Source organism: Homo sapiens, chromosome 4 (genome assembly GCF_000001405.40).
Source record: "Homo sapiens chromosome 4, GRCh38.p14 Primary Assembly".
NCBI classification, from domain to species: domain Eukaryota; kingdom Metazoa; phylum Chordata; class Mammalia; order Primates; family Hominidae; genus Homo; species Homo sapiens.
In genome coordinates this window covers 2,947,711-2,971,252 of record NC_000004.12, presented here as the reverse complement: position 1 = coordinate 2,971,252, position 23,542 = coordinate 2,947,711, and the positions used below count along the sequence as shown (strand labels likewise).

Sequence of the window (23,542 nt, the reverse complement as noted above, 5' to 3'; positions counted from 1 at the left end):
TTGGAAGTAATTTGCATATCAATTAACCACATATTTACTGGAGACTGAATATTGTTACCAAATTAGTCTTTATGACCATGACATAAATGTTAATAAGCAACTTTGCACACATATGTACAAAATACCGTAAATGTTTCTGCTAAAAAGTAACTTAAGAAAGCCCTAATTCTAGAGTTTTTTGAGGAGCTTTAATAAAGCCAAAATGATTTTGACTGTATCATTTTTCTTTAAGGTAACTATTGCCTAATTTGGGTCAAAATATAAAGCTCAAGAACATTCTTTTGGCCAGGCGCGGTGGCTCACACCTGTAATCCCAGCACTTTGGGAGGCCGAGGCGGGCAGATCACAAGGTCAGGAGATCGAGACCATCCTGGCTAACACAGTGAAACTCCATCTCTACTAAAAATGCAAAAAAATTAGCCAGGCATGGCGGCGTGTGCCTGTAGTCCCAGCTGCTGGGGAGGCTGAGACAGGAGAATGGCGTGAACCTGGGAGGCAGAGCTTGCAGTGAGCTGAGATCACGCCACTGCACTCCAGCCTGGGCGACAGAGCGAGACTGACCCCCCCAAAAAAAAAGAACATTTTTTTTTTTTTTTGAGATGGAGTCTCACCGTGTCGCCAGGTTGGAGTGCAGTGGCACGATCTCGGCTCACTGCAACCTCCACCTCCCGGGTTCAAGTGATTCTCCCGCCTCAGCCTCCCGAGTAGCTCGGACTACAGGTGCATGCCACCATGCCTGGCTAATTTTTGTATTTTTAGTAGAGACGGGGTTTCACCATGTTGGCCAGGATTGTCTCGATACCTGGACCTCGTGATCCGCCCGCCTTGGCCTCCCAAAGTGCTGGGATTACAGGCATGAGCCACCGTGCCTGGCCAAGAATATTATTTTATAGTATCAGTGGTATAGATATTTTTGGTCCTAAAGTAGCATAAAGCCAATAACCCAATATTTGATTCACTGACCAAGAAATAAAAATCCTGATTTAAAGCCATTATAATCTAGATAGACAAAGTAGAAAATATAAGAAAACCAAACTGACCTGGTTGCTAATAACCTGGCTGATTGATAGCATCCCAAATTAGCTGTACCATAATGATAGTAACAGACGGTAGACATTATTGCTTAGGGAAAATGGGGTAACCTTTTGTTGGCAGAGAAATAATTTGGCTGACTACTACATAGATTACTTCAAATATCTGACAGATAAGAAATACTAAGTTTATAACTCTTTCTAGAAAACTTGATCTTACATGCTGTTGAAAATTCTAATAGGCCGGGTGTAGTGGTTCACCCTGTAATCCCAGCACTTTGGGAGGCTGAAGTGGGAGGGTAGGATCACTTGAGTCCAGGGGTTCCAGACTAGCCTGGGCAACATAGTGAGACCCCATCTCCACAAAAACCACAAAATTATCTGTGCATGGCAGCGCATGCCTGTGGTCCCAGCCACTTGGGAGTCTGAGACAGGAGGACTGCTTGGCCCCAGAGTTCAAGGCTTTGAGGCTTCAGTAGCTATGATTTCCCCACCTGCACTCCAGCGGGGTAACAGAGTGAGACCCTGTCTTTAAAAAAAAAAAAGGCTGGGCACCATGGCTCACGCCTGTAAATCCTAGCACTTTGGGAGGCCGAGGTGGGCGGATCACCTGAGGTTGGGAGTTCGAGACCAGCCTGACCAACATGGAGAAACCCCATCTTTACTAAAAATACAAAATTAGCCGGGCGTGGTAGTGCATGCCTGTAATCCCAGCTACTTGGGAGGCTGAGGCAGGAGAATCGCTTGAACCCAGGAGGCGGAGGTTGCGGTGAGCCGAGATTGTGCCATTGCACTCCAGCCTGGGCAACAAGAGCGAAACTCTCTTTAAAAAAAAAAAAAAAGAAAAGAAAGAAAGAAAGAAAAGAAAAGAAAAGAAAATTTGGCCAGGCACAGTGGCTCACACCTGGAATCCCAACAATTTGGAAGGGCAAGGCGGGTGGATCATTTGAGGTCAGGAGTTCAAGACTAGAAAGAGCAGTCTTTTAATTTCCTCAGCTAGGGAATTTCAAAGGCAACTTTGAGGATTCTCTGCAATCGCTCCTCTATCCAGTGTCTTCTACCTTCAGCATCTCTCTGATCTCCTCTTTCCTCTCCGTTCTCCTAGCTACCCCTCTGGCCCTAGCGCATATGGCCTATGCCTGCTTACTATGTCATGTAAACAGGCCCTTGCAATGGCCCTTTGTTGGTTTCTTCTGCAGCCCTTCCCTTACTTCTCCCCCACGGTGTATGTCTTGGTGGGACTGTCATTCCAGCTGCCTGGTTCCCCCTTAGCCACGGATGCAGGAAGGGGGCCAGAGCCAAGCCAGCCAATTGGTGCTCTCTCCCAGGATAAGAATCATGAAATTCATGAGGCAAAATCAGATAAATAAAATAAAAAGATACCTGCTCTGTCACAGGAGTGACCGTGGAGACCTGATTATCAATCAGCAGCCCCCTGTCTAAAACTATCCAAAACTGCAACTACCAATGCCACCTGGGCGCTTCCTACCCCCATCCCTGCTGTAGTCTCCCGTGGCACTCACTGCTTGCTAATATGCCACACGTCTTATTTATGTGCCTCAAGACTGCCTCCCCTATAAGAATGTGGTCTCCAGAATGGCAGGAATTTCTGAACATGTTGTTTATTGCTATAGGAACAGTACCTGGAACATTCTGAGCACACATCTGCCAAATGAATGCATGAATGAATGAGTCCCACATCCTGTTCTTTCCAGACTGATTGTTAGGTTCTTACTTTGATTCTTTGAGCTACCCAATATCTTCTCCATAAATTTCCTATTTGCTTAAGTTAGCAAAAGTTCTAGGGAGGAAGCCTCAGCAAGAGACAGCATTAATAATAACAGGTATATTAACCATGCTGCAGGTGTTAAAGAAACTGCTCAATAACACCGCAGCCTGAAATCAGAACAGAATTGCAATATATAAGACCAAAACCCACATTAAATGCACGTATTACGTATTCCTCTCTGCATTTGTTTTCAATTTCTCCAAGAGATAAGACGGTGTTAAAGTCTCCTCAGAAGTATGATGTGAAATAATTTAAGCTTATTTAAAGCATAAAAGTTATAAGTTGCTTAACAAATAATATTATACAGGGAAAAAATCCTAAATTAAAAAAAAAAACAAAACAGGCCGGGCACAGTGGCTCACGCCTGTAATCCCAGTACTTTGGGAGGCTGAGGCGGGTGGATCACCTGTGATCAGGAGTTCGAGACCAGCCTGACCAACATGGAGAAACCCCCGTCTCTACTAAAAATACAAAATTAGCCAGGCATAATGGTGCATGCCTGTAATCCCAGCTACTCGGGAGACTGAGGCAGGAGAATTTCTTGAACCCGGGAGGCAGAGGTTGCAGTGAGCCGAGATCACGATTGCGCCATTGCACTCCAGCCTGGGCAACAAGAGCAAAACGACGCCTCAAAAAAAAATTGTTTTTATATTTATTAACAATATGATCTATGAACCTATGAATTATATCAAGGAAAAAAAAATAAAACAAAACACCAACAAAAACCCAATACGGGCCGGGTGCAGTGGCTCACGCCTGTAATCCCAGCACTTTGGGAGGCTGAGGTGGGCGAATCACTTGAGGTCAGGAGTTCAAGACTAGCCTGGCCAACATGGCAAAACCTTGTCTCTACTAAAAATACAAAAAATTAGCCGGGAATGGTGGGTGCCTGTAGTCCCAGCTACTTGGGAGGCTGAGGCAGGAGAATCACTTGAACCCAGGCGGCAGAGGTTGCAGTGTGCTGAGATCATACCACTGCACTCCAGCCTGGGTGACAGAGTGAGACTCTGTCTCAAAACAAAACGAAACAAAATAAGACCAAACCAATATGATCATTTCACGCTTCCTTCATGTCCCTGGCAGAGTGACACACAAACACTTTCAGTGCAGCATCATCTGCCAACATTCCTGAAAGGAAAAGGCTCTAACAATCTTCTGTTTAGACCATCTTAGTCTGTTCAAGCTGCTCTAACAAAATACTATAAACTGAGTAGCTTATAAATTGCAGAAATGTATTTCTCACAGTTCTGGAAGCTAAAAAGTCCAAGATCAAGACAGATTTGGTGTCTGGTGAGGGCCCACTTTCTGATTCATAGCTGGCATCTTCTTTCTGTGTCCATGGTAGAAGGAGTGAGGGGTGTCTCTCTAGTTTCTTTTATAAAGGCACTAATACCATTCACGAGGGTTCCACTCTCATGACCCAATCACCTCCCAAATGCCCCACCTCCTAATTCCATCCCCTTCGTAGTGAAGATTTCAACATAAGAATTTTGGGGGAACACAAATATTCAGACCATAGCAGGGACCAGAGAGGGAGGGGGGATTGAGACTGACTGATTCTATTTGAAATAAATCCAGGAAATGACCGGACTCACTAATAATATTAAATCAACATTGCGCTTCTCAGGACCAGAATATAACTCTTGTGCTACGTTCATTCATTTCAAAGGTTAATTTTCTAGTATATGAGCCAGTGAAGCTAAACAAGGAGCTGTCCATGAAGTTATGTGTCCAAGAAGACACCTCCTGGTACTTCCTGGGAGATACTTTAAAGTAACAAACACAGTCATCAACTTGGGAAAAAGCCCTAAATTATAACCAATACTCAGCATGTATCCATGTATATCTAATATTATATATTCAACTTCTCTAACCATTAATCAAGCTATACATAATGATGCTTTCTGACCACAGGAGCAAATACTCTCACTCAATGGGGACAGGCCTCATAATCACACTACTGTGGAGTTAATATGAGATATTTCAGGGAAAAAATTAAAACTTTCTTTTTTTTTTTTTTCGAGACGGAGTCTCGCTCTGTCACCCAGGCTGGAGTGCCGTGGCGCGATCTCGGCTCACTGCAAGCTCTGCCTCCAGGGTTCACGCCATTCTCCTGCCTCAGCCTCCCATGTAGCTGGGACTACAGGCGCCCGCCACCACGCCCGGCTAATTTTTGTATTTTTAGTAGAGACGGGGTTTCACCATGTTAGCCAGGATGGTCTCAATCTCCTGACCTTGTGATCCGCCCGCCTCGGCCTCCAAAAGTGCTGGGATTACAGCTGTGAGCCACCGTGCCCGGCCAAAACTTTCATTTTTCAAACTATCACTGTGGTCTTAGGTTTTGTGACAGAATCTGGTTTTATGTTATTTAGCATTTATAGAGCACTTGTATTTATCTCATTATCTAATCTCTGCAGCATTATAAGGAAGGCGGCTTGGTATAGTTCCTTTTTGTAAATTACATGCAGATAGGAAGGTAGTGTAAAAAGAAAACTGGCTTAGCTTCAATCTGACTTCCACTAAGGATGATTATTTTCCATGACCTATTTGGAGTTCACAGTCAGGGATAAGAGGCACAGTCAAATGCTCCACTGAAAATGGCTGCTGAGAACGCATACTGCTCTGGGACTCCCTGATTATCTTAAGGGAAAAAGATCCCATTCTCTTCCCACCCATTCTCAGTTCTTCTATTCAAAATAGTGTGAGTTGGTGCACAAAAATACTGAGAAGATGAAGTCTTTGTTTTAGACTTTTTTAAAGAGATGGTCTTGCTGTGTTTTGCCCAGGCTGGACTCTCCTGGGCCCAAGTGAGCCTTCCACCTCAGCTTCCAGAGTAGCTGGGACTACAAGCGTGGCCGCCACCTTCGGCTCCAGACTGTCCTTTAAATATGCATCGCCGGCTGCTGTGGCATCTTCAGTCGGCATTTACACTGTCCTGGAGCACAGTCCGAGCAGAGCTGCTCCATCACGCAAGGAAATAGAGGAAATCAGCAATTCCGTAAGAGTGACGGGGTGTGAAGAACTACCGTGGCTAGCACAGGGACTTGAGGTCCGAGGCTCTGTCGCCAGCTCTCTTGAGACGCAGGCAAGGGAGACATGAGGTCCGAGACAGAGGATTGCACAGAGGATTGTGGGGGTCTCCCGCTGAAGGGCTGGACCAACTGATGCTTTTGTGGCGGGATGCAGAGGACTAGAGAGACCAGCATGGGTGAAAACAGGAGGATATTTATGTTAAGGTACGCACCAGCTCAGTGGATTCACATCCAAAAAGCTGAGCCTTGAACAAAGACTAAGCAGGATTTTTATAAGCAAACTTACAGAAGCAAAACAAAGGCAGTTAATCATATAATGACAGGTCACATAATCTATAGCATAACTGATGACTTGGCATAACTTGTGGCCTTGCATAGCTGGTGGCCTTGTAGCTGCGTTGAAAGAAAAAACCAAGAACTGGCTAAACACAGATATTTGTCCTCTTTTTTTTTTTTCTTCACCCCTGCTCTGGAAGGGGGGTGTCTGGAGCCTATTCCTTTGGATTCGACTTCTCAAACAGAACAGCGTTATCTTATAACTGTCCTTAAAGTGAGCTTGCTAAGCAAAAGAAAACTTGTTCTTCTTTTCTTTTTAACCCTTGCCTTGCCACATTCTGGGCCTTGGCTTTTTCTTTTCTTGGAGTGAATGAATGCAGTACTTATTACTATTTTTAAATTTCTGCCTCACTTTAATAATGATAAAAGGCTGAATTTTTGCCAACTTGTCCATCTGTGACCACGTCGTGCTAAAGCACACTTGACACACCATAGAGCCTCAGATCAAACCTCAAAACCAAGCAGCTATGTTAAAAATAACATTGCCCTACAATCATTATCGGAAGGTTCTCGCCCAGAGTAGTTCCCAGGCTGCTATTCTTTGTCCCCCTTAAGACCATAAAGACGCCGTTCTTTTTTGGTGGGACAGGTTGTCCAACACAAGCAGGACACTGCCTGCCGCATCCTGAAGCAACACTGTCACCGAGGTCACACCGAGAGGACAGGACAAGGACACAGGGCAAGACTAAGAAGAGCAAAGCGCAGACTTCTCTCATCTGGGCCAGGAGATGGGGACTGGGACCTGGCCCGGGCAGCCTGACCACACTGCACAGACCCCGGCTCCGGCTCCGTGCAGATCTGGGTTCCCCCAGTGGGAGGTGTCGGGGCTCTCCAGGGAAATCGGGGTTCTCCGGGGATGTCGGGTTCCTTCAGGGGGGCCAGGGTTCCCCGGGATTCGGGGTTCTCTGGGGGGGGGGTCGGGGGCGCCTGCCGCGCACCCACCTTGACGCGCTTTCAGCAGCAGCGAGTTGGCCACGATGTTCTCGAGCTCCATGTCCTGGCGCCGCCGCCGCCGGCGGATTCTGCGAGACCGAGGAGACTGAGGAGGCGGAACAGGAGGAGACGCCGCCGCCCCCGTGCATAGCTCGCCGGGCACCACCCTCTCCTCGAGCTCCGGACACGATCCCGGGAGGCTGCTCCGCCGCCACCACTGCCACCAAGGGCGCCGCCGCCGCCGCCTCCGCAGGCCCTCACCAGCAGGGGAGCGGTCGGGGCGAGGGGAGGGGGCAGCCCGACCGCGGCGGGTCCCAGCTGTCACCGCTGCCGCGCTATCGCCCCGGTTCTTCTTGGCCCCATCGCCCTCGCCTCGCGCGCGCAACTCCCTCCTCAGTGCCCTGCCCCCGGGCAGCCCCGAGTCAATGCCGTGGCTCACTTCGGACAGGGGCTCACTGGCAGGGGCGCCCGCCGCGGCCGGCGACCCGCTCCCGGGCGGGCTCGGCGCTAACGGCTTAGCTGAAGAGGGAGCGCCCCTCGCCGCCGCGGCCGGGGCACTACAGCTCCCAGAAGGCCCTGCGCCAAGAGTACACGGCGGGCCGCGGCGCGTGGCCTGCTGGGAGTTGTAGTCGCTGAGCCTATCGGCGAGTAAGCCGAGCCTGCGGGCGCGGTGTTTACTTCTCGCGAGTCGGAGGTGCTGCGCTGTTCTCGCGAGACGAGGAAGCGGTTCCGCGGCCCGGCACGTGTCTTAGGGTAGCGCGCGCCTGTCTCTCTTCGGGTCTCGGGCCCTTGGGCGCAGCGGGGCGCGCGCCATGGCGAAGGCGAAGAAGGTCGGGGCGCGAAGGAAGGCCTCCGGGGCGCCGGCGGGAGCGCGAGGGGGCCCGGCGAAGGCCAACTCCAATCCGTTCGAGGTGAAAGTTAACAGGCAGAAGTTCCAGATCCTGGGCCGGAAGACGCGCCACGACGTGGGACTGCCCGGGGTGTCTCGCGCACGGGCCCTCAGGAAGGTAAGCGGGGGGCGCACGGGGAGCCGGAAGGCAGGATCTGGACCCCACGCTGCTCTCGGCCGGCTGCGTCCTTCTCGGTGCGTCGGTTTCCTCGTTGAGCGGCACAGGCCGTGACAGGCACACGGCACTGACTTGATAGTCCGAAAGCCTCTGCTGTTCTCTGAGCTGGAGTGACCTGGAAACTCTCGCCGTCTTGGAGACCCTGCACTCGTGTTATTTCGGCGACTCCTCCAACCGGGTCAGGCCGAGTCAGTCACTTCGGGCGGCGCCCTGGACCAAGCTGCTTGTTAACCCTTCCGCGTTTACTTTGAGCTCTGCAGGTTTGGGGACGGTGGATAGGGGCTGTGTAGGATGCTGCGTTTGATGTTTCATCGGCTCTCTCCCGAAGCGCGTAACCTTGTTCCTTGGGAAGTAACTCTATGGAAACTCATTGCTTCCTAGTTTTTTTAACTTTTTTTTTTTTAAATTTTCACTGAGGAACATACATTAGCAGGTTGGTGAAAAAATTAAGGCACAGAAAGGACAAGTGCATTTCCTAAGGTCACGCACCTGGTAAGGGCTGGGCATGCATTCACATTTCAATATCTACAAAGCCTTCTTGCTACCCCGAGCGCTTCTGTTTGACCTCGCTTCTAGGTTCGGGGAGATAAAGGTAAATAAGACTTGCCCTTGCCTTCATGAGCTCCTGATCTCTGTTCATCACAGTGTGCAAGCTGGATGGTCTTTGAATCAAAACACATATTATCCTTACTGCGCGAAGACGACAGCCTGTATAATGAATAGGCAAGATAGACTTACAGCTGACTTCGATAGGAGTCCCTCATTACACACCCCCGGGCCGGGGTGGGAGAATAAGGTAGTGTGGTTCCCTAGAAGAGACACATTTGTCTTCACCACTGAAGCCTCAGTTTTCTCATTTCAAAAGTAGAGATGATAGTATACATCCTACCCCTCGTGGTGGTTTGTGAGAATTAAGTAAGATAGCACATAGAGCACACAGCAAGTGTTCTCTAAATACTGTTATTCTTAACCTTCTTGGCTTGTCGTTCGAGTCCCGCACAGTCTGGCTGTTGTCCTTGCTTCGCCTCTTGCAACTCAGTTTGTCCAAAAGGTCTGCCTTACCTCCGAAAGTCTCTAAAGGGCCAGCTCAGGTTCACCACCCAAGCTATGTAACCCAAATAGGACAGGTTGCTCAAACTTCTGGTATTGAGCAGATCCACCTCCCTGCCCTGTGCTGAAGGCCTGGGACGGGGACGGGAATTGCTGCTCCTTTTTGGATCTCCAATGCTTGGCCCTTGGAAGAAACACAAATATTTGAAGAAATCAAAGATGGAACCTGAGTGCCTTAGGAGATCCCGGTCAGGAAAAAGTGTAATAGTTAGGAAAGTCCAAAAATTCTTCTAGAGGGAGTTACAGTCAAGTTTTGCAAGGGGAGTGAGCTGTTCATGGGCCCAGGGTGGGCAGAGGACACACATGCAAAGGCACATTGTCCCGGTATGGTGAAGTGTGGCACTCACAGCTGTCTGAGGGACAGCAGGTCGTCCAGTTGACTCCAAGCTTGATAACGCGTGTAGGGGCCGTGAGGCCGGCGCAGGAGGCCTGGGTCTTTTCATGTGGGTTAGTCCCTTAGAAGTAAACAGGCTGCCTCAGTTGGCTTCTCCCCTCTGGTCAGTTGTAGCACTCTGAGGCACTCAGTCTGGCAGGAAGAGGGCAGCCCCCAGGTGCCAGTCTCAGGACATTGCTTTATAGCTGTGCCTCAGTTTCCTTATTTCTGAAATAATTTATAAAATAAGTTATATTAATGTAGTTCTTAAATCAGTAACTATATTAATATAGTTACTATATATTAATATACTAACTATATTATTAATATAGTTACTATATATTAATATACTAACAATATTAATATATTAATATATTATTATAATATTAGCATATTAATATATTATTGTAATAGCATATTAATATATTATTATATTAGTATATTAATATATTATTATAATATTAATATATTATTAAAATATTAATATATTATTATAATATTAATATAGTATTAATATAATATTGATGTAGTATTAATATAATATTGATATAATATTAATATAATAATATTGATATAATATTAAAATAATATCGATATAATATTAATATAATATTGATATAATATTAATATAATAATATTGATATAATATTAAAATAATATCGATATAATATTAATATAATATTGATATAATAATATAATAATAATGTAATTATAATATTAATATATTGATAATGTGATTATAATATTAATATATTGATAATGTGATTATAATATTAATATATTAATATTAATGTGATTATAATATTAATATATTAATATTAATGTGATTATAATATTAATATATTAATATTAATGTGATTATAATATTAATATATTAATATTAATGTGATTATAATATTAATATAATATTAATATAATAATATATAGTAACTATATTAATAATATAGTTACTGGTCCCTTACAGTTGGTCAGGCCTTGTGCCACACGGTTTACATTTAATCCTCACCGTTATGAGGGGGAAGTACTGTTATCCCCATTTTATGCCGTAAATTCCATATGATGTCACAACATCTATATAGTTTAAGAAAGAAAGAGAATCACAATAATGTAGAATAACTCATATTACGTATTTATAGCCTAAGGGCTGTTCTTCACTAAGATTTACCCATAGAATCATATTCCAGATAATGAGAACTAATATTTTTAGAGGCAGAGATGGCTGATGCCTGCCCCATCTACCCCCTTCCTGCTAGAAGCCAGTGACACTCCCTCCCTCTGCAGGGACAGACCTCAGAAGTCTTCTCGGTGTATGCTGGGTTTGGTGGCTCACACCTGTGATCCTAGCACTTTGGGAGGCCGAGGCAGGCAGATTGCCTGAGCTCAGGAGTTCGAAACCAGCCTGGGCAACACGGTGAAACCCCATCTCTACTAAAAATACAAAAAAATTAGCTGGGCGTGGCAGCGTGCGCCTGTAATCCCAGCTACTGGGGAGGCTGAGGCAGGAGAATTGCTTGAACCCGGCAGGTGGAGGTTGTAGTGAGCTGAGATTGTGCCACTGCACTCCAGCCTGGGCGACAGAGCGAGATTCCATCTTTAAAAAAAAAAAAAAAGGTCTCAGTGTAGCATGCAAGCAGCCTCTGTCCGTACAGAGTTCATCGAGCAGTACAGGCTAGCACATGTAATGTGCTCCCATCTGATTGCCAGCTAGACCTTGTGATTTAAATAGTGAGATGTTGTTTTAAAATTTTGCTCTGCGGATAAAGAATGGTGAAGGTTCAGAGAGCTTAACCTGATTCAGTACTGTGTGTGGTTCACTATCAGCATCCAGCAGGATCTCGCTCTGGAATGGCTCGTAACAGAAGCGGAGAGAACAGAGCAATGGCGATGGAGCCCTCTGGTCTATCTGGGGACACTCGCTGTCTTTAGACTCTGGTTCAGGAAATTGTACCCAAGGTGGTTTGTTTGTGTTTTTTGTTTTTTTTTGTTTTTGAGACAGAGTCTTTGTCTGTCGCCCAGGCTGGAGTGCAGTGGCACAATCTCAGCTCACTGCAAGCTCCACTTCCCGGGTTCACGCCATTCTCCTGCCTCAGCCTCCTGAGTAGCTGGGACTACAGGCGCCCGCCACCACACCCGGCTAATTTTTTTGTATTTTTAGTAGAGACGGGGTTTCACCATGTTACCCAGGATGGTCTTGATCTTCTAACCTCGTGATCCGCCCGCCTTGGCCTCCCAGAGTGCTGGAATTACAGGCGTGAGCCACCGCGCCCGGCCCCAAAGGTGTTTTTAACAAACATTGTTTAGCACTGCCACGGTAGGAAGTTACTAGAAGTTACTAGGGATTAATAACTCAGCGTGTGTCAGTTGAAACAAATTGGTTCTTGAAATATTCTTGAAGAAAATGACGAAAATTGCCTTGGCAGTATTTATTGAACTAATGGATGGTTTCCTACTCTTCAGGTAGCAGAGGGGTTTTTCATGCATTTTAAGTGTAATAATAGCACTTTCACATTTCAAAGTGAGATAAGAGAAATGGTTTTTTCACATCCTTTTCTCCTGTCCACATGATTAATATTTCGGTTGACCTCTCCAGATGGAATGTGCTCTAAATGGAAAGGAGGGCCAGGTCGTGCTTCTGTCCCTGCTGGAGCATCTTCTGCTCTTGCCCAGCTGCTTCTTAACCCCTTCCACTCTCTTTTCCTCCTCTTCCAGCTCCTGGTTTTGACCTTAAATCTGGGTTTCTTAGCCTTTAAGTTCATCTCCGACCCTGGGGAAGTGACCTATGTCTGGAGCAAAATCTGACCTGTCCCCTCCTGAAACAGAACTTGGAACCAGAGTGGCAGTGACCAAGTCACCACACGCTCCCTCCTGCCACACGCACGCATTCTTTCAAAGTGACTTCACAAATTAGAGGAATCCCTGAGGAAGGCAAGGAACACTTAAGTCGGGTTAGATGAGAGGTTTCAAATGTCTGCCGAGGCACCGATTTGTGGTGGGTTTGTAAAACCACTGAATTGGATCATTCCAAGGGCCTTCCATGGCATCAAGATTTTGCCTTGATGCCATTTCCTTTCGGAATTGCTGTGTAAACACCAGTGTAATGGCAGTTCCTTAGCAAATAGAAGAAGTTCCGCAGCAAGAAAGAGTTTGCAATGTGGCCATCTCAGGTTGCAGAGGCCACTCGTTCCTCACCCATCTCTGTCCTCTCACAGCTTTCTTTAGGGAATTCAACCTCCAGGACAGCCAACTTTGAATACTGTTAAACTTGGTCTTTTTTTGTTGCTGCTGGGAAAATAACCAAATTATTTGATACTTGCTAACCGTATTTAAAATATTGCTCCTCTTGGTGTTATAAAGGTGAAGCCCCTAAACTGTGACCTCGCTAACTTGTTTATTGCCTTGTGTCTAGTATGAACTCACAACTACACATTTCTTAGGAGTACCTTTGATGGGAAATAGTACCCTCCTCCATGACGGAAGGAGTCTAAACCCATTTCCACTTTTCCAAATGTGCACGTTTTAAACCTTAAGGCAGCTGTTACAGCCGAGGGAGCCATTCATGCCTTGAGCTTGACTAGTGTGTTCTTTTTTACCCTTCCTTTTGGCACCGGTAGACTCTAAAGAAGAAAAGAAAGTGATTGCCCCATTATCCTTGAAAGTTGTTTTGCTCTTCTCAAAATTCTGTGATTAGTAGAGAAAGCCTATCGTGCATGAAAGCAGATTGGGTGTGAACTTTGACATCACTGTGCATAGCCCTGAACTTTAAAGTATGCACTGTTCTGATGTCCCCTGTAGTGGAAATCACAAGAATTTTTTGTGAGATTGTTTCTGACCTGTTTTCCAGCGTACACAGACTTTACTAAAAGAGTACAAAGAAAGGGATAAATCCAATGTATTCAGAGATAAACGCTTCGGAGAATACAACAGCAACATGAGCCCCGAGGAGAAGATGATGAAGAGGTTTGCTCTGGAACAGCAGGTATGGAAAGAAACTGGAGGAGGGTTTTTGCTGTACATTTCACAGGGAAGTCAAGGCCAAGGAGAAGGCTGACTCTGCATGTTTTGCATGTTCCTGGGCACTCGGAAGGTCCAGGGGATAGCCCTCGAATCCTGTGCCTTATCTGGCTAGGCCAAAGGAGAAGCAACCTCTTCTGCAAATGTTAGCTGAATGGATAAATGCCTTAACTCTACTACACGGCAGCAGTGTGCACAGGAGTTCTCAGCTGAGCAGCATTGCTGGAGTGGAAACTGGCCCCTGGGCTTATTTAAGAATTCCCCTCCATGAGGCCGGGCGCGGTGGCTCATGCCTGTAATCCCAGCACTTTGGGAGGCTGAGGTGGGTGGATCATGAGGTCAGGAGATCGAGACCATCCTGGCCAACGTGATGAAACCCCGTCTCTACTAAAAATACAAAAATTAGCCAGGCGTGGTGGCGCATGCCTATAATCCCAGCTACTCAGGAGGCTGAGGCAGGAGAATCACTTGAACCAGGGAGTCAGAGGTTGCAGTGAGCCCAGATCACTCTACCGCACTCCAGCCTGGGCAACAGAGCGAGACTCTGTCTGAAGGAAAAAAAAGAATTACCCTCCATGAGTTTCATTTCTGTCTGAATCATGAATCATTGCTTAGTTGACCCAAAATACTCTTTAAGGCTGCTTAGGATTCGTTGTCATATTTCAAATATAATGGAAATATATATATCTACCTTATCTTTTTTTTTTTGCTGTGAAATGGAAGTGGTAATTTTAGGAAACTTTTTTTCTCTTCTGTCAGCGACATCATGAGAAAAAAAGCATCTACAATCTAAATGAAGATGAAGAATTGACTCATTATGGCCAGTCTTTGGCAGACATCGAGAAGCATAATGACATTGTGGACAGTGACAGCGATGCTGAGGATCGAGGAACGTTGTCTGGTGAGGCTGGGGTGCTGTGCACGGGCCTGTGGGCGTGGAGTCAGGGAGAGTCTGTTCATTGTTAGACCTTCTGCTCTTCTTAGAGACTAGAGAAAGTTATTGCATGAAAGTTTTACTGATCATTAACCTCTCTACAAATTTCACAAGTGACAGTTTTTATGTATTTTTGTTTTTTTTTTAAGTTTTCAGAACTTTAAGATGGTGTGTAGATAGATGCTTTTATGGGCCAAGAAAGCATGTTGATATCCATTATTTTATTTGAACCTCAAAATAGCTCGTTCTACCCATGAGCTCAGAGAAATAAGGTGTTTTGCCCGATGCCAGAGTCAGAGCTGTGGGGAGAACCCACCTCACTGACTCCAGGTGCCTCACTGAATGCACTACTTTGCTCCCCCTACTTTATCAATTCCAGCCTAATATTTGTACCAGTGGCATTGATGTAGTTCCTTTAGCTTTTACCTACTGTGGAATTATAGCAGTTTGAGGAAAATCATATTGAGCCTCATATCTGTAGATAACAACATGAAACAGATAAATTTTGGCCTTAAATAATGTTAACAGAGTTTAAGATTCAGTTCGGGTCTGACTGTCTTGAACCCTATTTATAAGGTTGCAGTCATGACATCAATTACTTGACATTTCTTGTAAGTTAAAGTAGGTCCCATTTCCAGCATCTTCAGAACAAAGGTGTACAAATCTAAAACTGACTCTCAAAGCTTTGTCTTGTCAGTGTGTGAAAGTTAAGGCGTTAAAGCCTGGGGCTGCCTTCTGATATTTGGCTAATCCAGGGGGTAAAAGGCTTAGGAATTAGGGCAGCAAGCATGTGGTGCAGAACCCGCCATCTGCGGCACACCAGGAGGCCCCGCCACTGCTCGGCTTCACGGGCGTGAAGAGAATGGCCAGTTATTTTAACCCCTCTGTGCCTTTGTCTTTGCTCTTTTCATTGTTCAAGACTTCTCGTGGACCCTTAGCTATAAAACGCATTCCCTGGGGAGATCCTAATTCCCCGAGACTGGAGGTAACTGCCTTGGTGTGAGTTGGGCGAGTGGCCTTCCCCTCATTGCCAGGAGGCGCTGTGGCGCAGGTGACTAGAGGGGGCGCCGTGGCGTGCAGGTGACTAGAGGGGGCGCCGTGGCGTGCAGGTGACTAGAGGGGGCGCTGTGGTGCAGGTGACTAGAGGGGGCGCCGTGGCGTGCAGGTGACTAGAGGGGGCGCTGTGGTGCAGGTGACTAGAGGGCGCCGTGGTGCAGGTGACTAGAGGGGGCGCCGTGGCGTGCAGGTGACTAGAGGGGGCGCCGTGGTCCAGGTGACTAGAGGGGGCGCCGTGGCGTGCAGGTGACTAGAGGGGGCGCCGTGGCGTGCAGGTGACTAGAGGGGGCGCTGTGGTGCAGGTGACTAGAGGGCGCCGTGGTGCAGGTGACTAGAGGGGGCGCTGTGGCGTGCAGGTGACTAGAGGGGGCGCCGTGGTCCAGGTGACTAGAGGGGGCGCCGTGGCGTGCAGGTGACTAGAGGGGGCGCCGTGGGGTGCAGGTGACTAGAGGGGGCGCTGTGGCGCAGGTGACTAGAGGGGGCGCCGTGGCGCAGGTGACTAGAGGGAGCGCCGTGGCGTGCAGGTGACTAGAGGGGGCGCCGTGGCGTGGAGGTGACTAGAGGGGGCGCCGTGGCGTGCAGGTGACTAGAGGGGGCGCCGTGGTACAGGTGACTAGAGTCTCCAGGCCCTGCCCAGGGAGGTGGGAGGGACACAGATTGCACCACTGATCCTGGGCGACGCTCCCACCAAGACCCTGGAGTCAGCTTGCTCTGGGTTTGCCAGTCTTCGCTAGAACCAGCACAATCAAAAATAGGTGCTGGGTGTTTCCAGCCACTTGGGTTACGGCCAGTTGGGAGTGTAATGGGTCTGGGTTTTCTCAGAGTGGCTTACCTTGGGTATTTCTCAAGTGCCATTGTGCCTGTGGTCTCAGGCCAGGCTGTTGCGTGTGAGCATTTTTTTCTCAAATGTGGACTTTTCCAGACCACTATGGGGGAAGCACTGGCAGAGTGCTACAGGAAACACTTCCCACGCCAGGGCTGGGCTTCACTGTGGGGTTTTCTGCCTTTTGCCCCCAGCTGAGCTGACTGCTGCCCACTTTGGAGGAGGCGGTGGGCTCCTTCACAAGAAGACTCAACAGGAAGGCGAGGAGCGGGAGAAACCGAAGTCCCGGAAAGAGCTGATTGAAGAGCTCATTGCCAAGTCAAAACAAGAGAAGGTGGGTTAGTGAGTGTTCTTGATCATCTTCTCCACGGTAAGACAGGCTCACCAAAATGTGTTTGAGCTTTTTTTTCCTGTACCTTTTTAGGCTGTGTTTAATATTTTATATGAGTTCAGTAAAAGCATTTATTGTGAGTAGGAATTTTAAAAATCACATAAAGCATATACCTCGGACAGGTTTTGGTTCTTTTGCCTTTTTTTGGTTTATGTTTTGTTTTATTTTGAGACGTAGTCTCTGTTTCCCGGGCTGGAGTACAGTGGCACGATCAAAGCTCACTGTGGCCTCAAACTCCTGGGCTCAAGGATCCAGTGATCCTCCCACCTCAGCTCCCCAAGTAGCTAGTGGGCGCCACCATGCTCAGCTAATTACTTTTTGTAGAGATGGGGATCGTGCTGTGTCGACCAGGCTCAAGCAGTTCTCCCACCTTGGCCTAGTTCTAAAGCACAGGGTGGGCCACTGCACCTGGCGCGGATGGGTTTTTTGTTGTTGCTGGTTTTAGTATCTGACATGTGCCCAAAAAATCACTTTTTTATTCATTTGCAGTGAACTGCTCAGAGCATCTAAATTAATGGTTTATGGCAGGAAAAGATTTCCGTCTGATGAGATTTGGTAGCTTTGCATTTAAAATACTCATTTCTCCTGGCCTCTTTTCTGTGTTGAAACGTTTGGTGCCAACTGAGTGATCACTGTGTGTGTCCTTGGCACTGACATTGGGCCTCTGGGTTGAAGTCCAGTAGTAACGGTATGTGGTGTGTGTCTGTTATTTTTTCCCCAGAGGGAGAGACAAGCTCAACGAGAAGATGCCCTCGAGCTCACGGAGAAGCTAGACCAAGACTGGAAAGAAATTCAGACTCTCCTGTCCCACAAAACTCCCAAGTCAGAGAACAGAGACAAAAAGGAAAAACCCAAGGTGGGAGCCAAGTACTGAAACAAACTCTTCACTCACTGAGCTTGGGTGACCGACTTTCTCCAGAGAAAGGGCTGGGGCTGGACGGCTCTTCTACCTGTCTCCTTTAGGGCAAGTTTCTGTTGAACATTGATACTGAATTACCTGCTGTGTGTAATCTTGGGGTGGAAGTAGATTCAGTTACTTGAGTCTCTATTGCAGGTGAATTAAACTGAAAAAAGTGGTGTTTCTGGATGGAAGAAGTACTTCAGGGTGGACACGTTAGAATAGGTGTCTGAACTTCCCTGTGACATGTTTGTCTGTTGATACATAATACATACATTTAATATACATTTACTTATTTTTGCCTCTGTAAACAGTTGTTTCCTACTGCATTCTCTTTAGTCGAAACTATTGGAAAATGCTGCATTTGTTTAAGAAACTGCGTTCTCAGAGAAGTCTAGATCCCAGCAGATTAGTGTCATGTGGTCATCTGTGCATCTTTGTCAGTCAGCCTTGATGTTACCGTTACTTTACTTAGTTTCCCACGTTTAGGGCGTAATGCCTGGATAAGTAGCGTTTTTGTTGTTGTTTGAGACGGAGTCTCGCTCTGTCACCCAGGCTGGAGTGTAGTGCAACCTCCACCTCACTGCAACCTCCACCTCCTGGGTTCAAGTGATTCTCTTGCCTCAGCCTCCCGGGTAGCTGGGATTACAGGCGCGTGCCACCATGCTTGACTAATTTTTGTATTTTTAGTAAAGACAGGGTTTCACCATGTTGGGCCAGGCTGATCTCAAACTCCTGACCTCACGTGATCTGCCCACCTTGGCCTCCCAAAGTGCTGGGATTACAGGCGTGAGCCACTGCACCTGGCCTGTTTTCGTTAAAGCAGATGTATTCTGAGAATTTTTCTAGGGGTAAACAAATTCTTTGTGACCGAATGTCCACTGATTTCGCAATCCTCAGGGCTTATCAGAACAGTTTTCTCTCTAGAAGAAAAGACGTAGATGTGGCTTAGCTACTTCAATAACATTATCTAGCCATTACTAGAATGTGCCAGGAAGCTAGATCTTTTCTTTTTGTAAAATAAGAAATAAATATATTTTTAAAATGAAGAATTTCTTCTTTCTACCTTAGCCCGATGCATATGACATGATGGTTCGCGAGCTTGGCTTTGAAATGAAGGCGCAGCCCTCTAACAGGATGAAGACGGAGGCAGAATTGGCAAAGGAAGAGCAGGAGCACCTCAGGAAGCTGGAGGTAGGGTGGCAGCACCTCAGGAGCAGGGCTGTGCTGCTGTCCGTCCACAGCCCCTTCTGCTCCATTTTGCAGGATGGGCTGAAGAGAATACTCTGTTTGATCAGTGGAATATTTTAGTCTATTTAAAGTTTATATTTATTCATGAATACCTTTTTTTTTTTTTTTCTTTGAGACAGAGTTTCGCTCTGTCACCCAGCTAGAGTACAGTGGCACAATCTTGGCTCACTGCAAACTCCACCTCCTGGGTTCAAGTGATTCTCCTGCCTCAGCCTCCTGAGTAGCTAGGATTACAGGCGCCTGCCACCACGCCCGGCTAATTTTTGTATTTTTAGTAGAGATAGGATTTCGCCATGTTGGCCAGGCGGTCTTGAACTCCTGACCTCAGGTGATCCAGTCACCTCGGCCTCCCAAAGTGCTGGGATTACAGGTGTGAGCCACCGCGCCTGGCCCCAGCTAATTTTCAAAAATTGTTTGTATAGATGAGCATCTCCCTATGTTGCCTAGGCTGTTCTCAAACTCCTGGTCTCAGCTGATCCTCCCACCACGGCCTCCCACAGTGCTGGGGTTACAGGTGTGGGCTGCCATCACAGCTGGCTCAGCTGGCTGTTTTGACATAACCACATCACTAGCTTCTTCCCGTGTCCAGTGTGTGGTCAAATAGTGGAGGCCGTGGAGCTGCTTGCTCTTGGCGTCCTGGCTCCTATTCTCTCGGTGCAGGGGGTGATGAGTCCCAGTCGGGGCTGGCCAGCAGAATTGGGCTGTGAAGGCCTCAGAATAATAGGCTTGCCTGGTGACTGGAGAGTATTGGCCACAAAGTTTGAACAGTTGATTTTGTTAAATGAGGAATGTGCTGCTTAGCTAGTGTTTGCATGCCTGATTGAAAACTGCAGGCAGAAAGCAGGCTGGATGCACCAGCCTCAGAGCTGGGAGGACCGTAGGCCCAGCCCGCTGCCCAGGGCAGGACTGCACGGCCCCCTCACCATATGTTGGAAGAGTGTGCTCTAAGACATCTCATTCCTTCCTGCTCAGGCTGAGAGACTTCGAAGAATGCTTGGAAAGGATGAGGATGAAAATGTTAAGAAACCAAAACATATGTCAGCAGATGATCTGAATGATGGCTTCGTGCTAGATAAAGATGACAGGCGTTTGCTTTCCTACAAAGTAAGATGTTTGCCTTCATTTTCTCTTTCTCTCTCTTTTTTTAATTTAAAAACATTTTTTTGGTATTCATTTTAGGGATTTATTACAGTTGGGAATTTTAAATCTTTTTAACCAGTTTCTCTAAAGTTCTTTATCTGGGTGTTTATGGTATATCAGATATTAAAACTTTAGAGAGAAGACTTTAACAATAGTATGTGCACTCACTTGCTCACGCTCTCTTTCTCACTCTCTCTCTCTGTCTCAAAGGAACACAGATAAAACTGATTACTCGGTTAACATCAACTACTTTTGTTAATAACTGTATGATTCTATCTGCATGACCTCATCATACTATTGAGGGAGCTAACTCAAGGCTAGAGTTGTGAATTTTCTTTGAGTGATGTCATTGAGTTTCCATGACTGGTGTAGTTTTTAATTCACGAACTTTATAAATCGGTACCCTTTTCTCGTTTTAAGAGTGTATCAGTCAGGGTCCAGGGAAGAAAAATAGGCAGGACAGGTTTCAAGCAGAAGAGATCCACACAGGAAAATGGATACTGATAAAAACACTAGGTTACCTGGAGGAGCAGAAGGTGCTGTAGACACTCCTCCTGCTAAAGCCCGCAGCCACTGTACACCTTCCAAATCCCAGTCCCATGCTGCTCCCTGGCAAAAGCTGAACCGCGCCCAGCATCCTGCCGCAGGGTTCTCTAGCAGCCTGTAGCTCCTGCGGCTCGAATAGCCTAGAAGCGGGTGGTGGGCAGGAGGCCTAGTGCCAGTGGGCAAATGGAGCACACAGGTTTGTGTTCCTTGCAACCACGTAGAAAGCCCTGATGTGGGCAGCCTCTTGATGTGGCTGTGAGATGGTCCAGCGTTGTCTCCGCCTGTCCTCATGCCCTGTGGTTTCCACGCTCTTGGTAGGATGGAAAGATGAATGTCGAGGAAGATGTCCAGGAAGAGCAAAGCAAGGAAGCCAGTGACCCTGAGAGCAACGAGGAAGAAGGTGACAGTTCAGGCGGGGAGGACACAGAGGAGAGCGACAGCCCAGATAGCCACTTGGACCTGGAATCCAACGTGGAGAGTGAGGAAGAAAACGAGAAGCCAGCAAAAGAGCAGAGGCAGACTCCTGGGAAAGGGTTGATAAGCGGCAAGGAAAGAGCTGGAAAAGCTACCAGAGACGAGCTGCCCTACACGTTCGCAGGTGGGCAAGTGCGCGGGTTTCCTCAGGTTCTGGGATAACCTTTATGACCTGGCCATAGCTGTGTGTGTTCGTCTCCCTCCCAGGGGTTGCATTTGTGGAATGGGGACCAAGGATGCCCTTGGGAGTGCCTGGACACACCCCTGTGTCTGCTGATCCAGGTCTTAGAGTGAGTGGTCATCTTAGTTTGTGACTGTGGTTCTGTAGGCCGGCCCCCGATGGGCCAGATGCGCCTCTCTCTAGTGGTACCTTCACCTCCCTTTTAGTATATGGTCAGCCTCTTGTGGTGGACCAGAGGGGCAGGGCTGGGGAGGTGGGTGAGCATCTGCGAGAAGGCTTCCATGTTCCCACCTGGGCCTCCTGTTTGGCCACGTAACATTTTAGATGGAATATACAGTGTTGTTTTGTCTAGTATGTGGAGAAAAATTGTCCAGGCCAGGTGCGTGGCTGATGCCTATAATCCCAACACTTTGGGAGGCCAAGGTGGGTGGGTCACTTGAGCCTTGGAGTTTGAGACCAGCCTGGGCAACATTGCGAAACCTCGTCTCTACCAAAAATATAAAAAATAAGCCTGGTGCAATAGCTTGTGCCTGTGTTCCTAGCTGGTCAGGAGGCTGAGGTGGGAGGATCACTTGAGCCTGGGAGGCGGAGGTTGCAGTGAGCCGAGATTACACCACTGCACTCTAGCCTGGGTGACAGAGCAAGACCCTGTCTCAAAACAAAGAAAAGAAAAATGGTCAGGTTCTAGTAAGCAATGCCGAATTATTCTGTGCCTGCCAGACGCTTCCAGAGGAGAAGCTAGTGGTGAAGCTGGCCTCTGTGAAGTGCCCTCTGGTGGCAAGAGTCTCCTGAGCTGACACTGCTTGGCTCACAGTGGCTCCTTCCAGGTCCTTCTGAAGCAGTCTGGGCACTAAACCCAGCACCCTGCCACCAAGATGCTCTGAAACTGTGGGTGTTTTAGCAAATTCCTAATCAAGGAAAGGTGGGAGGGCATTTCCTTATTAGCCTGTTCCCAGGTGCGTGATCGCACCTGACAGCCCAGGTCAGGATGGCTGAGACCCCTCCAGGTGTACCAGGGCAAACGCTGGTGGGTTTGTTGTGATCGTGAAGTAGAATAGTTATATAAAATTACCTCTCTGTCAGCAGACATGTAAGTAATTCTCATTTTAAATGTGAAATGTGGGCCAGGTGCGGTGGCTCATGCCTGTAATCCCAGCACTTTGGGAGGCCTAGGCAGGCGGATCACCTGAGGTCAGGAGCTCAAGACCAGCCTGGCCAACACGGTGAAGCCCTGTCTCTACTGAAAATACAAAAATTAGCCGGGCATGGTGGCGAGTGCCTGTAATCCCAGCTACTCAGCAGGCTGGGGCAGGAGAATCTCTTGAACCCAGGAGGCGGAAGTTTCAGTGAGCTGAGATTGCACCACTGCACTCCAGCCTGGGCAACAGAGCGAGACTCCATCTCAAAAATAAATATATATACATATATATAAATGTTAAATGTGCAGTATGTTTTGTGTTTTTGATAGCCCCTGAATCCTATGAGGAACTGAGATCTCTGTTGTTAGGAAGATCGATGGAAGAGCAGCTTTTGGTGGTGGAGAGAATTCAGAAGTGCAACCACCCGAGTCTCGCAGAAGGAAACAAAGCAAAATTAGAAGTACGTGGATTGAGTGTGTGTGGAGCGCTGGGAGTGTCAGCATAGCCCCGTATATGAATGCCAGAATTGTGTGAAGTTGTGCAACGGCCATGTGTGCCTCAGGCCAGATGGGGCCAGCCCGTCACATGGTTACCTATGATGATGGCTGGGAGTACTTGGTATGGCACCGGCAGAGGCCTCCCTTGGCTTTGGCCCCTCTCTAGGCCTCGTGCCAGACCCAGCCAGAGGCAGGCATGGGGACCTTCACCTTCATCTCACAGGGGAGGACACTAGGGTTCACATAGCCAGCGTGTGGCAGAGCCAGACTTTGCTGTGGCAGATAGGTGGCTGTGATCGTGCCTCTTTCAGTGAATGGTGGATATTGCCTGTGAGGAGGACGCCGTGCTGCCCGTGTTCCTCGTCGTGCTTTCCTAGTGGTGTGTTGTCAGCTGTTCTGTAGAAGGATGCGCCTTGCCCTTAGCTTTCTCCCCCCTACACCTTCTAGTGCTTAGCAAGTTCTAGCAGTGTATTTGCTTACATTTTAGAAGGCTGCTCGTGTCTGTCACCCTGGGCTCCCCTGCCCCACCT

The 23,542-nt window shown here is 47.5% G+C and overlaps 2 protein-coding genes and 1 long non-coding RNA gene across 31 annotated transcripts in view, besides 7 other annotated features; 1 reads left to right on the top strand and 2 right to left on the bottom strand.

Moving 5' to 3' along the window:
* Window positions 1–7,682, bottom strand: part of GRK4 (G protein-coupled receptor kinase 4) — a 77,190-nt gene extending 69,508 nt beyond the window's left edge. For all 26 annotated transcript variants that reach the window (XR_924941.3, XR_001741210.2, XM_011513447.3 and 23 more), the window contains exon 1: window positions 7,131–7,682. Coding sequence is in view for 22 of the 26 variants with exons in the window: in XM_011513447.3 (XP_011511749.1) it covers window positions 7,131–7,182 (52 nt within the window). In the remaining 4 variants the exon portion in view is untranslated. The remainder of the gene's footprint in view (window positions 1–7,130) is intronic.
* Window positions 7,010–7,059: a silencer, noted in NCBI's record as "silent region_15196". NCBI's record gives its function as "represses an Ori minimal core promoter by ATAC-STARR-seq in GM12878 lymphoblastoid cells {active_cell/tissue: GM12878}" and the evidence as "EXISTENCE:reporter gene assay evidence [ECO:0000049][PMID:35858748]".
* Window positions 7,122–7,655: an enhancer, noted in NCBI's record as "H3K27ac-H3K4me1 hESC enhancer chr4:2965325-2965858 (GRCh37/hg19 assembly coordinates)". NCBI's record gives its function as "activates a minimal SCP1, AML or CMV promoter by ChIP-STARR-seq in naive H9 embryonic stem cells {active_cell/tissue: H9 hESC(naive)}" and the evidence as "EXISTENCE:reporter gene assay evidence [ECO:0000049][PMID:30033119]".
* Window positions 7,122–7,659: a biological region, named in NCBI's record as "H3K27ac-H3K4me1 hESC enhancer GRCh37_chr4:2965325-2965858".
* Window positions 7,230–7,659: a silencer, noted in NCBI's record as "silent region_15195". NCBI's record gives its function as "represses an Ori minimal core promoter by ATAC-STARR-seq in GM12878 lymphoblastoid cells {active_cell/tissue: GM12878}" and the evidence as "EXISTENCE:reporter gene assay evidence [ECO:0000049][PMID:35858748]".
* Window positions 7,656–8,189: an enhancer, noted in NCBI's record as "H3K27ac hESC enhancer chr4:2964791-2965324 (GRCh37/hg19 assembly coordinates)". NCBI's record gives its function as "activates a minimal SCP1, AML or CMV promoter by ChIP-STARR-seq in naive H9 embryonic stem cells {active_cell/tissue: H9 hESC(naive)}" and the evidence as "EXISTENCE:reporter gene assay evidence [ECO:0000049][PMID:30033119]".
* Window positions 7,847–23,542, top strand: part of NOP14 (NOP14 nucleolar protein) — a 25,471-nt gene continuing 9,775 nt past the window's right edge. For all 4 annotated transcript variants that reach the window (NM_001291979.2, NM_003703.3, NM_001291978.2 and 1 more), the window contains exons 1-9: window positions 7,847–8,128; window positions 13,513–13,647; window positions 14,442–14,583; window positions 16,690–16,829; window positions 17,608–17,742; window positions 18,856–18,978; window positions 20,008–20,139; window positions 21,040–21,319; window positions 22,845–22,975. In NM_001291979.2, the coding sequence (NP_001278908.1) occupies window positions 7,934–8,128; window positions 13,513–13,647; window positions 14,442–14,583; window positions 16,690–16,829; window positions 17,608–17,742; window positions 18,856–18,978; window positions 20,008–20,139; window positions 21,040–21,319; window positions 22,845–22,975 (1,413 nt within the window). In that variant the 5' untranslated portion in view covers window positions 7,847–7,933. The remainder of the gene's footprint in view (window positions 8,129–13,512; window positions 13,648–14,441; window positions 14,584–16,689; window positions 16,830–17,607; window positions 17,743–18,855; window positions 18,979–20,007; window positions 20,140–21,039; window positions 21,320–22,844; window positions 22,976–23,542) is intronic.
* Window positions 9,220–9,289: an enhancer, noted in NCBI's record as "active region_21205". NCBI's record gives its function as "activates an Ori minimal core promoter by ATAC-STARR-seq in GM12878 lymphoblastoid cells {active_cell/tissue: GM12878}" and the evidence as "EXISTENCE:reporter gene assay evidence [ECO:0000049][PMID:35858748]".
* Window positions 20,175–23,542, bottom strand: part of NOP14-AS1 (NOP14 antisense RNA 1) — a 15,533-nt gene continuing 12,165 nt past the window's right edge. Inside the window, exon 4 of the long non-coding RNA NR_015453.2 lies at window positions 20,175–21,100. This is a non-coding gene — a long non-coding RNA (NOP14 antisense RNA 1). The remainder of the gene's footprint in view (window positions 21,101–23,542) is intronic.
* Window positions 23,419–23,542: part of an enhancer, noted in NCBI's record as "BRD4-independent group 4 enhancer chr4:2948362-2949561 (GRCh37/hg19 assembly coordinates)", that runs on past the window's edge. NCBI's record gives its function as "activates an origin of replication core promoter dependent on BRD2, P300/CBP, MED14 and CDK7 cofactors, and independent of BRD4, by STARR-seq in HCT116 cells {active_cell/tissue: HCT116}" and the evidence as "EXISTENCE:reporter gene assay evidence [ECO:0000049][PMID:35650434]".